General features: G+C 42.7%; 1 long non-coding RNA gene across 1 annotated transcript; it reads right to left on the bottom strand.

Annotated features, from left to right (window-relative positions):
• Nucleotides 1-6,829: 6,829 nt before the first annotated feature.
• Nucleotides 6,830-7,705, bottom strand: LOC124903770 (uncharacterized). Its single transcript, XR_007065194.1, has 2 exons — nt 7,407-7,705; nt 6,830-7,110 (listed from the first exon to the last, which is right to left on the bottom strand). It is a non-coding gene; the product is annotated as an uncharacterized LOC124903770 (long non-coding RNA).
• Between the last annotated feature and the right edge of the window lie 6,002 nt (nt 7,706-13,707).

The following is a 13,707-nucleotide window of genomic DNA, read 5'->3' as shown; positions in this document are numbered from 1 at the left end:
AGCTGAGCTGGGGGTGGTGGCACTTGCCTATAGTCCCAGCCACTTGAGAGGCTGCAGTGGAAAGATTGCTTGAGCCCAAGAGTTCAAGGCCAGCCTGGGCAACATAGCAAGACCCTGTCTCTAATAAATAAATAAAAACTTAAACTATGAAACTGTTAATAGAAAATATAGAAGAAACATCTTTGTGACCTTCACTTTGGCAATGATTTATTAAATGTGGCACTAATTGTACAGGCAACAAAAGAAAAAATAGATAAACTGGACTCCATCAAAATTAAAACTTGTGTGCATCAAAGACACTATAGCAGAGTGATTGCATCTATGTTCCAGGTAAGAAAATAAAAATTAAAAACTGTAACAGAGTGAAAAGACAACTCACAAAATGAGAGAAAATATTTGCAAATTGTATATCTGGTAAAGGATTAATGTCCAGAATATATTAAATCTCCTACAACTCAACAACAATAAAACAAATAACTCTATTGAAACATAGGCAAAGAACCTGACATTTCTCCCAGGAAGATATGCAAATGACCAATATGCACATAAAAAGAGGCTGAACATCACTAGTCACTAGTGAAATACAAATCAAAGCCATAATGAGATACCGCTTTATGCCCACTATGAAAGCTATTATTTACAAAGAGACAGAGAGAGAGGAAGGGGGGGTGAGGAGAGAGAGCGAGAGAACGAGAGAGAGAGAGAGAGAGAGAGAGAGATGCAGTGGTGCTCACCTGTAATCCCAGCTACTAGGGAGGCTGAGGTGGGAGAATCATTTGAGCCCAGGAGTTCGAGAATACAGTGAGCTATGATTGCACCACTGCACTCCAGCTTGGGCAACAGAAGGAGACACCATTTCTTTGGAAAAAAAAAAAAAAAAAAGAAAGGAGAGGAGAGGAGAGGGGAAGGGAAGGGAGAGAAAGGGGAAGGGGAAGGGGAAGGGGAAAGGGAAGGAAAGGAAAGGAAAGGAAAGGAAAGGGAAAGGGTTGGTGAGGAGGTGAAGAAATTCACCTTGTGTGTTGCTGATGGAGATGTAAAATGATGCAGCTGCTGTGGGAAACAGCTTGGCATCTCCTCAAAAATTAAACATAGAATTACTGTATGATCCAGCAATTTCACTTCTAGGTATACATCCAAAAGAATTGAAATCAGGGACACATTCCCTAGCAAGCTGACTCAGAAGAAAAGAATATTTTAAATACATTAATCATTTAAATAAATAAGAAATCAGGAACTTAAACAGATTCTTGTGCACCAATGTTCATAGCAGCCTTATTCTCAATACCCAGAAGATGGAAATGACCCAAAGGCCTATCATCAGATGAATGGATAAACGTAATGTAATATAGACATATAATGGAATGTTATTTATCCTTAAAAAGGAATGAAATTCTGACACATACTATAACATGAATGAAGCTTGGAAAATTATGCTAAGTGAAATAAGCCAGACAAAAACAAAAAAGGACATATTGTATGATTTCTCTTATATGAGGTACATAGAGTATCAAATTTATAGAGACAAAAGGTAGAATAGAGGTTATCAGGAACTGGGGGCAAAGGAAGAGGGAAGAGGAGAGGAATGGGGAGCTATTGCTTAATGGGTTTGGCATTTATGTTTGGAAGATAAAAAAGTTCTGGAAATAGATTATAGATAGATAGATAGATAGATAGATAGATAGATAGATAGATAGATAGATAGATACATAGATACATAGATACATAGATACATAGATACATAGATAGATAGATGATATTTCTTTTTGAGACAGAGTTTCACTCTTTCTCCCAGGCTGGAGTGCAGTGGTGTGATCTTGGCTCACTGCAACCTCCACCTCCCGGGGTCAAGCGATTCTCCTGCCTCAGCCTGCTGAGTAGCTGGGATTACAGACATGTGCCACCAAGCCCGGCTAATTTTTGTATTTTTACTAGAGATGGGGTTTCACCATGTTGGCCAGGCTGGTATTGAACTCCTGACCTTGTGATCCGCCCGCCTCAGCCTCCCAAAGTCCTGGGATTACAGGTGTGAGCCACTGCAGCCGGCCATAACAGTAAATTTTGTTACCTATATTTTACCACAATCAAAATAAACAAAGTCAATCAAACAAAAGCAATTTAAAAGGAGAAATTAAAACATTCCCAGATTTTAAAAAAGCTGAGAGAGTTTGTCACTACTAGACTTGGCCTAAAAGAAATGCTAAAGGGAGCCTTTCTGGCTGAAAAGACACTAGACAGTAACTCAAATTCATATGAAGAAATTGGGAATTCTGGTAAAAATAATTACATAGATAAATATAAAAGCCAGTGTAATTATATTTTTGGTTTCTAACTCCACTTTTTGTTTTCTAACTTATTTATAAGACAAATGCCTAAAACAACAATTAAAATTCTATATTAATAGGCAAACAGTGTATAAAGATGTAATTTATGACTTTAAAAGGGAATGGACTGAGGTACATAGGAACAGAGTTTTTGTATGCTATTGAAACTAAGTAGGAATTAATTCCAACTAAGTTTTTATATATTTAGGATGTTAATTGTAATCCCCATGGTAAACATGGGGATAAATACTCATGACCTTGTATTTGCCAATAGAGTCTTAGAAAAGACACCAAAAGTAAAGGAAACAACAACAAAAATACATACATTGAACTTTGTCAACTTTTAAAACTTTTGTGCACCAAAAGACACTATCAAGAGAGTGTGCCAGGTGTGGTGGCTCACGCCTGTAATCTCAAACAGTTTGGGAGGCTGAGGTAGAAGGACTACTTGAGCCCAAGAATTCAAGACCAGCCTGGGCAACATAGTGAGACCCCATCTCTAAAAAAAAAAAAAATTAGCTGGGTGTGGTGGCACATGCCTACAGTCCCAACTACTCAGGAGGCTGAGGCAGGAGGATCTCTTGAGCCCAGGAGGTCGAGGCTGCAGTGAGCCATGATCACGCCATTGTACTCTAGCCTGAGTGACAGAACAAGACCCTGTCTCAAAAAGAAAAAAAAGAGTGAGAGAGTAAAAAGGTAACACACAAAATTGAAGGAAATTCTTGCAAATCATATATCTGATAAGGGATTAGTATCTAGAATATATAAAGAATGCCTAGAACTCAACACACAAGAAAACAAACAACCTAATTCAAAAAAAGGGCAAAGAACTTGAATAGACATTTCTTCAAAGAAGATATGCAAATGAATCTGGGTGTGGTGGCTCAAGCATATAATCCCAGCACTTACAAAAATTAGCCAGGCATGGTGGTACACACCTGTAGTTCCAGCTACTTGGGAGGCTGAGGCAGAAGAATTGCTTGAACCCGGGAGGCAGAGGTTGCAGTGAGCTGAGATTGTGGCACTGCACTCCAGCCTGGGTGACAAAGAGAGACTCTGTCTCAAAAAAAAAAAAAAAAAGATATTCAAATGGCCAATAATCACATGAAAGGATGTTCAACATCATTAATTTTTAGGGCAGTGGAAGTCAAAACCACAATGAGATACCACTTCACACCCACTAGGATGGCTACATTCAAAAAAATAGAAAATAACAAGTATTGGTGAAGATGTAGAGAATATGAAACCCTCAAATTTTGCTGGCAGGAATGTGAAATGTTTTGGTTACTGTGGAAAATAGTTTGGCAGCTCTTCAAAAAGTTAAACATAGAATTACTATATGACATCTATTACGTTCTTAGATACACACCCAACATTGAAATCAAGGATTCAAAAAAGTACTTATATATGCATGTTCATAGCACTGCTATTCACAATAGTCAAGGGGTGGAAACAACCCAAATGTCCATTAACAAGCAAATGGATAAGCAAATTGTGGTATTATACAAGTAATGTTGTTCAGCCATAACAAGGAGCTAAGAACTCACACATGCTACAACATAGGTGAACCTTGAAAGCATTATGTTAAGAGACAGAAGCCAAACACAAAAAAGATCATATATTATATTATTCCATTTATAGGAAATAGCCAGGGTAAGTAATTCCATAGAAATGGAAAGTAGAAAGATGGTTTTTCAGGGGCTAGACTGAGAGGGAAATAGGGAGTCATTGTTTAATGGATACAGAGTTTCCGTTTGGGAAGATGCAAAGATTCCACAGATGGAGGGTGGTGATGATTGCACAACCTTGTGAATGTTCTAAGTGCTACTGAATTGTTTGCTTTAAAATGGTTAACTTATGTTATGTGAATTTCACCTAAAACCCAAAACCTTGAAGAGAGATTTTGTCATCTCAGTTTTCTGATGAGAAATCCAATGTACCAGGAGGCAAGTAATTTGTTCCAGGTCGCACATGCCTTTCTTAGCAGTCAAGGTCAAGGATCACAGCTTCTGAATCTAAGGGCAAGCCATGGTTGGCCTCAACCTCAGGGGAAGTGACAGTAAAATCAGGAGGCTAGGGGAGAGGTGAGACACGATGTGTAGACTTCACCTGGATTTTATAGGCCTGGTGGCCTTGTTTGTTGGTTTGTTTAAAAAAAAAAAAAAAAAAAAGATTTTCCAAGGGCACACTCACCTTTACACATGTATTTTTTGTGCAAGTGCCAAAGTATTGAATGGATTTCGTAAACCCAACCATAAACCTCGGCAATGGCTCCCATAGGAGCTGCCGGCCACCAGCATGGAGAGTCTCATGAGCTGTGGCAAAGCCATGGCCCACCACACCCAGACTCCACCACCCACACCTCCCTCAGGTTACTGTCGCTGTGGGGGCCATAAACTCAGCATTTTATAGCATAGCCTGTTTTTTCCCAAATCAGTCACCAGCCCCATATATTTGCTATGTATGACCAGACTATTTAGAAATTTAAAGGTTTTCGTATGTACTGGAATACTTCTATTTTTAAGGTTTTGAAGACATGCTTGAAATATACTGAAAAATAGAATAGAATAGGAAAAGAGTAAACTTTCATCTAGATTTAACATATTTGCTTAATTCAAATTTTTTTGCTGAACCGTTTGAAAGTAAATTTTAGACAACATAACAGTAATACTTAGCATGCATTGCCAAAAAATAAGGATATTTTCCACAATGTTATTATCACGTCTAACAGAATCAACACAATTCCCAAATATCATCTAATAATAAGTCCATATTCATATCCCCATTTGCTCCAAAAATGTCTTTTATTGATATCTGCTTAAACTAGGGCCCAAAGACCACACCTTGCTTTTAATTATGTCTCTTAGATCTCCTTTACTCTAGAACAATCCTCTTAATCTTGTCTTATTTTTTCCTCCATGACATTGACTTTTAATCTTAAGGACTGTTCCACATTCTATATTTGTCTATCTCATTGCTACATTCTATATTTGTCTATCTTATTGTTTCCTTGTGGTATCATTTAATTTGTTCCTCTGTCTTCTGTATTTTTTATAAACCAGAATTAGGACTAAACGGTTGGTGAGAAACATGTTCAACATCGTTGGTAAGAAAGCTTCAAAGGTGAGGCTGTGTGCTTCATGATGGCATCCCATCAGGAGGCCTGGAACAATAGAGTTTCCACTATTAATTGATGCCAAACTTGATTTGGTTTCTGGGTAACATGGCAGCCATTAGATCTTGCCAATATAAATGACGTTATTTCCTTTTGCAAGTAGACTGTAGGGATGGTACCTTGACATTGTACAAAAATCCAGTTCCTTATCAACTTTTCACCTAATGCTTTCAACATCCGTTGATGATCCTGACCCCAGCCAATTAGTTCATTGATAGTTGCAAACTGGTCATTTTCTGATTTGTCTGGTTTCTTCATTTATTAGCTGGCATTGCTCTGTAAAGACAAACTTTCCCTCCTCAACTGGGGATATTTGGCCACACTCAAATGCTCTTCCTAGAGCAAAAGCAGGATAAACGTTCAAAGACATTCATCGCCACAGAAAATCCAGAACCAGAAGTTGAACACCAGCAGTGGGTAAGTGGGTGAGTGGGCAGACCTGATATTGTTGAGGGACAGGAGATGTGTGTGGGCATTGAGTCCACCTAAGACCAGCCAGCATTCTTCATCTGTTTGATAAATATCTACAGCTTCAGGTGAATTGGCAGATGGAGTAATGGTCAAAATGTCAAATAGGTCATAATTAGTCACTGGTTTTTCTTTCGTTTTGTTTAATATCTCATAAATCAATTTTTTTACTGTTGAATAGTTGGTGACAGTTTATTTTATTTTAGCCAGTTTTCAGGATTTGGGGGTGCTTTTGGTTTCTGTGAACTCTGCTTTTATACGACATGCTTTTTAAAAATGCATTTAACCTGGGCAAGATGGGAAGAGCCCATCTCTACAAAAAAAAATTTTTTTTAATTAGCCAGGCATGGTAATGCATGCCTGTGGTTCCAGCTACAAGGGAAGTTGAGGCAAAAAGACCACTTGAGCCCAAGAGGTCAAGGCTGCAGTGGGCCATGTTCACATCATTGCACAGCATGTGTGACAGAGCAAGACACTGTCTCAAAAAAAAGAAATGCACTTGTTAGTAAAATTTTTAATTTCAAAATAATTTTCAGGCAATCTTGGCTGCCCCAAAGGCTTCACATGTCTCTGGTGCTATGTGAAATGCCCCACCCAAAGTGAATATGGTCAAAATGAACATGTTCATTGATAACTTTGTTTGCACCCAATGATTTTTTTTTTTAATTTCTGAAACTTATTGCAAGGATAAAACAAATTTGCATCTGCCAAGTCTACTACCTGCAATCTAAGTTGTTTTTGCATTTCTAAATTATAAATTCATTAAAACCCGGTACTTCATATTTAGCTATGTTTCTCACATTTTCATTACGTATTTGTTTTGTATTTAAGGAGTTTTCATAAAGAAAAACAAAACTTCCAGCAGTGACAAAAGCAGAGCCGATTTATTTTATTGGCTATTCCTGAAAACAACATTAAGATTTTAAATGTTATCCTAAGATTGGAATGTGGAATAAAGAGGTGAGAAATAGTTGCATAAATCATGTCTCAAGTTCAGCATTCCATTTGTCAGAGGCGTTGCTGTAGCTCTCACCCTGCAGATGTCTCGCAATGTTGGATGGTACCATGATTTTACTTGGACAAATCATTGCTGGAAAACTGCTCATCCCTTCATTTGGCTATTCTTTGTTTCAGGCAGCAAAGCCACTATTACGAAAAAAATGACTCAATATTCCAACATACTAAGGATACCTTGCTATGCCCAGATGGGGCCTGCAACGACCTTCCCAGTCCTGTCAGTACCAGCTAATTGACGCAAGGTTAGGGAGGGGCCTTTTTACAAGAAGAAGGCCAGAATCTGAGTTCAGGCATATTCCACCTATTTAACAGACTGAGGGAGTTGAGGCAGATACCAAATCCTAAGGGAAAGGGGCGTGATCTTTCTGTTTCTCCCTCCTCTCTTTCCAGAATCCAAATGCCCTTCCTATTTTAAAGGAACATACCTTATGAAATCTCAGAAGAGTCTTGGCTCCATCCACCTTTGCAAGATGCCAGCCTTTTGCTGGGTTACTTCATACTCTTCTGATCCATTCCCCATATGGTTAAGTTTACCACTGCCAGATTCTATTGTATGAAACCAGAGTCCAGACTGAATTAGGACCTCTAAAATCTAAATCCTCCTAAAGGAAAGAAATGTCTGATGTTGTGAGCCAGACTTGGTCACCGGCAAGTGAGTCTGAGGGTGGGAGAGGAGTGATAGTTCTTGCCCTGCTGGCTCTCCTAGTCAAGCCCCTCCCATGCCAGTCACCATGGCGATAAGAGCCACCCCTCCCCACCCCTCCGCCCATGGTGGGATCCTCTGACACAGTTGGGCCCATTGCCTATGAAACAATGGCAGCTGCTCGCAGGATGGCAGCCCAAGGAAGGCCAGTGGAGGGTAGCCCAGGGCAGCACCAATGACAAATGGAGAGCAGCTGCCTGCACAGAACCATGAGTGTGGGGCTTTCATGGAGAACCCCGGGAGGAGGAAATGATGGCCCAGAGGCTGTGGCATTTGAAGACTGAACTACAAGACAGTGTGCCATCAGAGCTAAAGGGAATGGCTCTGAAGCCAGACTTCCTGGGGTTTCCTGTTGGCACGGCCACCTACGGTTATGTCCCCTTGAACAAGTTACTTCTATCCTCTGTGTCTTGGTTTCCTCATCTGTAAAATGGCATAAGAATAAGTGCACCTACCACAAAGTGTTGTTGTAAGGATTAAATCAGTTAATTCTTAGACTTGCACCGTGCATATAGCAAGTACTCAATAAATGTTGTCATAGTGATTGACTAATGCACTGTTTTAGTGTCTATTGCTCCATGGAGGAAAACAGGAGGGGGTAGAGCTGTCCAATCAGGGAAAGCCCACTAGACATGTCAGAGTGACCTCATTTGAGCCCACAGGCTGGTGAAGTTTAAGGACATTCAGAATCCCTAAAAACCCAATGGCTGGTTGTAAGCCCTAATGCAATATTGGATCCAGAGCAAATGGAACTCTCAGGCACTGGGATGGGAATGTCACTTGCTTGGTGGCATTTAACTAGTGCTAAACATTTGTTCCTCAAGAACCTAACTATTCTATTCCTAGTTATATACCTAATAGAAATGCATGCATGTGGTCACCAAAAGACATATGTAAGAGTGTTCATAGTACATTATGCATGATGGCTGGAAACTACCCAGATGCCCAGCAAGGGTAGAATGGTAAATGGTGGCCAGGCACGGTGGCTCATACCTGTAATCCCAGCACTTTGGGAGGCCGAGGTGCGCAGATCACTTGAGGTCAGGAGTTCGAGACCAGCCTGCCCAACATGGTGAAACCCCCGTCTCTACTAAAAATAAAAATAAATAAAAAATAAAAAGCCTAGCTGGGTGTGGTGGTGCGTGCCTGTAATCCCAGCTACTTGGGCAGCTGAAGCACGACAATCACTTGAACCCAGGAGACAGAGGTTGCAGTGAGCTGAGATCGTGCCACTGCACTCCAGCCTAAGGAACAGAGTGAGACTCTGTCTCAAAAAAAAAAGAATGATAAATGGTGGTGTGTCATGAAATACTTCTTCAGCAGTGAGAATAAGCAAACTAAATCTACACCCAAGCATCAACACGGGTGAATCTCACAAGGTGTTGAGCAAAAGAAACCCAACACAAAAGGGTATGTGCTGATGATTCCAGTTATATAAAGTTCAGGTTCACAACCAGGCAAAATTAATTTGTGCTGTTAGAAGCCAGGAGAGTGGATGCCCTTGGGAAGGTGGGGATATCTGGGAGGGAATATGAGAGAAGTTTCTGGGATGCTGGTGAAGTTCTAATTTTTTTTTTCTGTGAACTTGCATACAGAAGTAAAGAAGTCCTATTTGTTATCTGGGTGCTGATTTCATGGAGATGTTCACTTTGTAAAAACTCATCAAACTCTTTCTTGGTGCTCTTGGGCAAATTATGCACCTGTAGTCCCAGCTACTTGGGAGGCTGAGGCATGAGAAACACTTGAACCCAGGAGGTGGAGGTTGCAGTGAGCTGAGATTGCACCACTGCCCTCCAGCCTGGGCAACAGATCGAGACTCTGTTTCAAAAATAATAATAATAATAATAATAAATAAAGTTTTATTTGAACATAGCCACACACATTCATTTACATATGGTCTATGGTTGCCTTAGGGCAACAAAAACAGAGTTGAAAAGCGGTAACAGAAACTGTATAGCCCATGACACTGAAAATATTTACTATCTCACCCCTTACAGAAAGTTTGCCAATCCCTAAGCCAGTGATGCCATTCCTGGGAGCAGAAATCCTCCCACTGGTCTGCAAGGGATGCCCATTGATGTACTGCCAATTAGGTGTCATCTCTGGGGAATCAATAAGTAAAATGTAGGCAATGCACCCTATGGAATGCAGTTAAAAGTAAGGAATCAGATGCATATACAACAACGTGGGTGGTTCTCAAAAATACTGGGCTGGCCAGGAGGTATGGCTCATGCCTGTGATCCCAATACTTTGGGAGGCCAAGAGGGGAGGATAGCTTGAGGCCAGGAGTTTGAGGCCAGCCTGGGCAACATAGTGAACCGTGTCTCTACAAAAAATGCAAAAATTATATGGGTGTGATAGTATGCACCTATAGTCCCAGCTATTTGGGAGGCTGATGGGGGAGAATTGCTTGAGCCAGGGAGTTCCAGGCTGCAGAAAGCTGTGATTGCACCACTGGACTCCAGCCTGGGCAACAGAGCAAGACTCTATCTCAAAATAAAAAATTAAAAAATGAAAATTAAAAATTAAAATAAAAACACTGAGCTGAGTAAGAGAAAATAACAAGTGAGAAATAGAATAATAAACATAGTTAATATTTTTTGAGCATTTACTTTATGCCAAGTAGTGTTCTGGGTGCTTTTAAAGTATTAACTCTCTTAATCCTCTGGCCATCTCTTTGAAGTGGGAACAATTACCATCCCACACGACAGTTGGAGAAACTGAGGCATCAAGGCTAAGTAACTGCCAGCCAGCAAGTGGCAGAGCTTGGGTTTTGAACTGGGTCAGTGGAGTCTAGCACCTGTGCCCTTTTTTTTTTTTTTTTTTTTTTTGAGATGGAGTCTCACTCTGTTGCCAGGCTGGAGTGCAGTGGCGCGATCTCATCTCACTGCAACCTCCGCCTCCCAGGTTCAAGCGATTCTCCTGCCTCAGCCTCCCAAGTAGCTGGGACTACAGGCGCCCGCCACCACGCCCAGCTAATTTTTGTATTTTTGGTAGAGACGGGGTTTCACCATGTTGGCCAGGATGGTCTCAATCTCTTGACCTGATGATCCACCCACCTCAGCCTCCCAGAGTGCTTGGATTACAGGCATGAGCCACTACACCTGGCCTAGAACTTGTGCTCTTGACTCCTATGGTGTACACAACACAATACCTTTCTGTATGGTAAAAACAAAACAAAACAAAACAAAAAAACCACTCATTGAAAAGATAATGTTTGGTGCAGCAGCTCCCACCTATAATCCCAGCACTTTGGGAGGCCAAGGCCTCCCAAATTTTACAACTATCTACACACAAAAAGCACCTTGAGGATTGCTTGAGACCAGATGATCAAGACCAACGTGGGCAATATAGCAAGACCCTATTTGTACAAAAAAAATTTTTTTTAATTAGCCAGCCATGATGCCATGCACCTGTAATCCCAGCTACTTGGGAGGCTGAGGTAGGAGGATCACATGAGCCCAGGAGTGGAAGGTTACAGTGAGCTATGATTGCATCACTGCACTCCAGCCTGGGCAATAGAGTAAGACTGTGCCTCAAAGGAAAAAGAAAAAAAAAGGTAAATTTTAGGTTATGTGCATTATGCCACAATGAAGAAAAGAAACACGCATCTACATATAAAGCAGCATTATGTATTTAGGAACATTCACCAAACACACTGGACAGTTGCCTCCGTGCTGGGAGAATGAAAGAGTGGGGGGGGCGTGTAAATCACAGGCAAATGATAGGGACCCACTCTGAACTAAGCAGAGTGACAAACTTCATTCCACCTAAGAGTCATAATTTTCTCCACTTTAAAAATGTTCGAGAATTCCAGCACTCCCAGGTCAACACAGGAGGCTATGGCCAGCGCAGACGGCTGCCACATCGCTGGGCCTCCTCGTGTTCTCCTGCAGCCCAGCAGCTCTGTGAGCTGTCTGGCAGCCGCTGGTGGTGTGAGGACTGGGGCTGGCACGGCAGCAGGCATGCCAGGGCACCATGGGCTGGCTGCCTTATCACACCGGACAGAACAACCAGCGTGGGGCCTGACACAGGCCCTCCCCGTGGCCGCAGCAGGGCAGCCGGCTTTTTTTCCTGACCATCTTTGAGCTCAAGATCAGACACAGGGAAAGATTAAAACAAATATGAATTTAATCAAGGGATTCTGCTATCCTGGGGTGGAAACAGGAGCCTGCTGACATAAAGAGAGGCTGGAGCGCTGGGGAGCCAGAGTGGAATCAAAGTGGCTTGCTTACCACTAACCGCTCAGATGATCCATATCATAACAACAAAAAAGAAAAACAATTATTTATTCTTTTTGATGTTACAGCTCAGCAGCAACTTGCTTTTTGAAGAGAGCAAGGTCAAAACCAAGTTATTGTTTTTGCCTGAAACTTTGACAGGGACTCCAAGTTCTTCCGTGTGACCTACTTAGATGAGATGTGGGAAACGTGGAGATGTTCATTTCTTCTGGGCCATGGATTAGGGCTTCCTTTCTTCTCCTTCCTCCCTCCTTCTCACCATGTCTCCCTCCCCTCTCTTACTGTTAAGGACCTGAATATGATGTCGTGGGGCCACAAAGGCATCCAAGCCACAGCTCCATCTCATCTCGTCTGGGAGAGCTAGATAGAAGCCCAGGTCTCCAGATCCACTCCTCCCAGGTGGGCTGGGGAACAGCCTTCCTTTCACTCCCTAATTCACCCACCTGACATTTACTATGCAACTGCAATGCGGGCATGGTGCTGAATGCCAGGGGTACAACTGCGAACAAATCAGCCCTGCTCTAGGAGAGTTTATTTTTCACAGGAGAGACATGGGTTTAAATAACAGGTCATAATTCAGGAGCATCCAAATAGCCACAGGGAAAGCACAAGGTTACAAGCAGGCTTTTGTAACCCAGACAGGGGATTCAGAAGCATCTGCTCCATGGGGTTGTTGGCCCAGGAAGGAGGGGAGGGAAGAGTGTTGGGGCAGAGAGAACAGCATGCACGGAGGCCTGAAGGTGAGAGATCATAGGTTCAAGGGACTGAAAGCAGCTTGGCTCTGCAGGTGTGGGGAGGGTGTTAAGGAGAACAGAACTCGTAGGGGCTGGAGGTCTGGCAGGAAGCAATTCCTGCAGGGCCTTGCTAGGCCATCACAAGGAGTTTGGATTTCCTCTTTACCGCAGTGGGGAGCCACAGCCAAGGATTTTCAGCAGCAAGCCACGCGGTCAAGGCCGCTTCAGAAAGTTCACTCAGGGCCACAGGAGGGATTGCAGGGAGGCAAGACTGGAGGTGAGAGATGAGGCTGGCAGGGGCCAGAGAGGTGCCAGGGGAGCTGGACACAGTGGAGAGCGTCGAGAAAGATGCACACAGTGATGAAACAAGAACTGTGTGGCTGAGGGCAAGCGGAGTTGAAGCCTGTGCCTACCTTCATTGCCTGACACCAGCCACGCAGGAGAGGAGGCAGGTTACCTATGGAGGGGGTGGGGAGGGATGATGAGTTGCATTGAGCTTGAGGACCCAGGTGAAGACATCTGGTTGAATGCACAGGTCTGGGGCTCAGGAGAGAGGAGGCTGGATGTGCAGACCTGGGAGGACATGGCACCTGTAGACCCAGGTCCATCCCTGTCTCCCCGTCAGCTTTCAGCCCTGCTTCCTTATATTTAAATGTTCACGTTCTTTGATTCATCAACCAGATGTTGGAACCCTGATGTGTCCCTCATGCTGTGCCAAGCCCTGAGGGAAAACAACAAGCACCACCAGATGTGGCTTCAACCCGGTCAGATTAATCTCACTCAGAAGCCAAGGAGGCCTGACACCCCATGTCCCAGGTTGGGTTCCCCAGAAGCAGGCCCTCACACAAGGATGTGAGGGCAAGCAGCAGATTAGGGAAGTGGTCCTAGGAGGTACCAGCAGGAGAGTGGGGAAGGACATGGGAGGGGAAGGAAGCTAACACAGGCTAGAGGAAGGGGCAGTTTACAGCTGTTCGCAAAATGGTTCAATCCCAACCAGTCTCTGGGCCACCCCTAAGAGGTAACCCACCTGACGGGTGATAAAGATGAG

This window comes from Homo sapiens, chromosome 16 (genome assembly GCF_000001405.40).
Source record: "Homo sapiens chromosome 16, GRCh38.p14 Primary Assembly".
NCBI classification, from domain to species: domain Eukaryota; kingdom Metazoa; phylum Chordata; class Mammalia; order Primates; family Hominidae; genus Homo; species Homo sapiens.
This window is presented reverse-complemented; position numbering and strand designations above follow the sequence as displayed.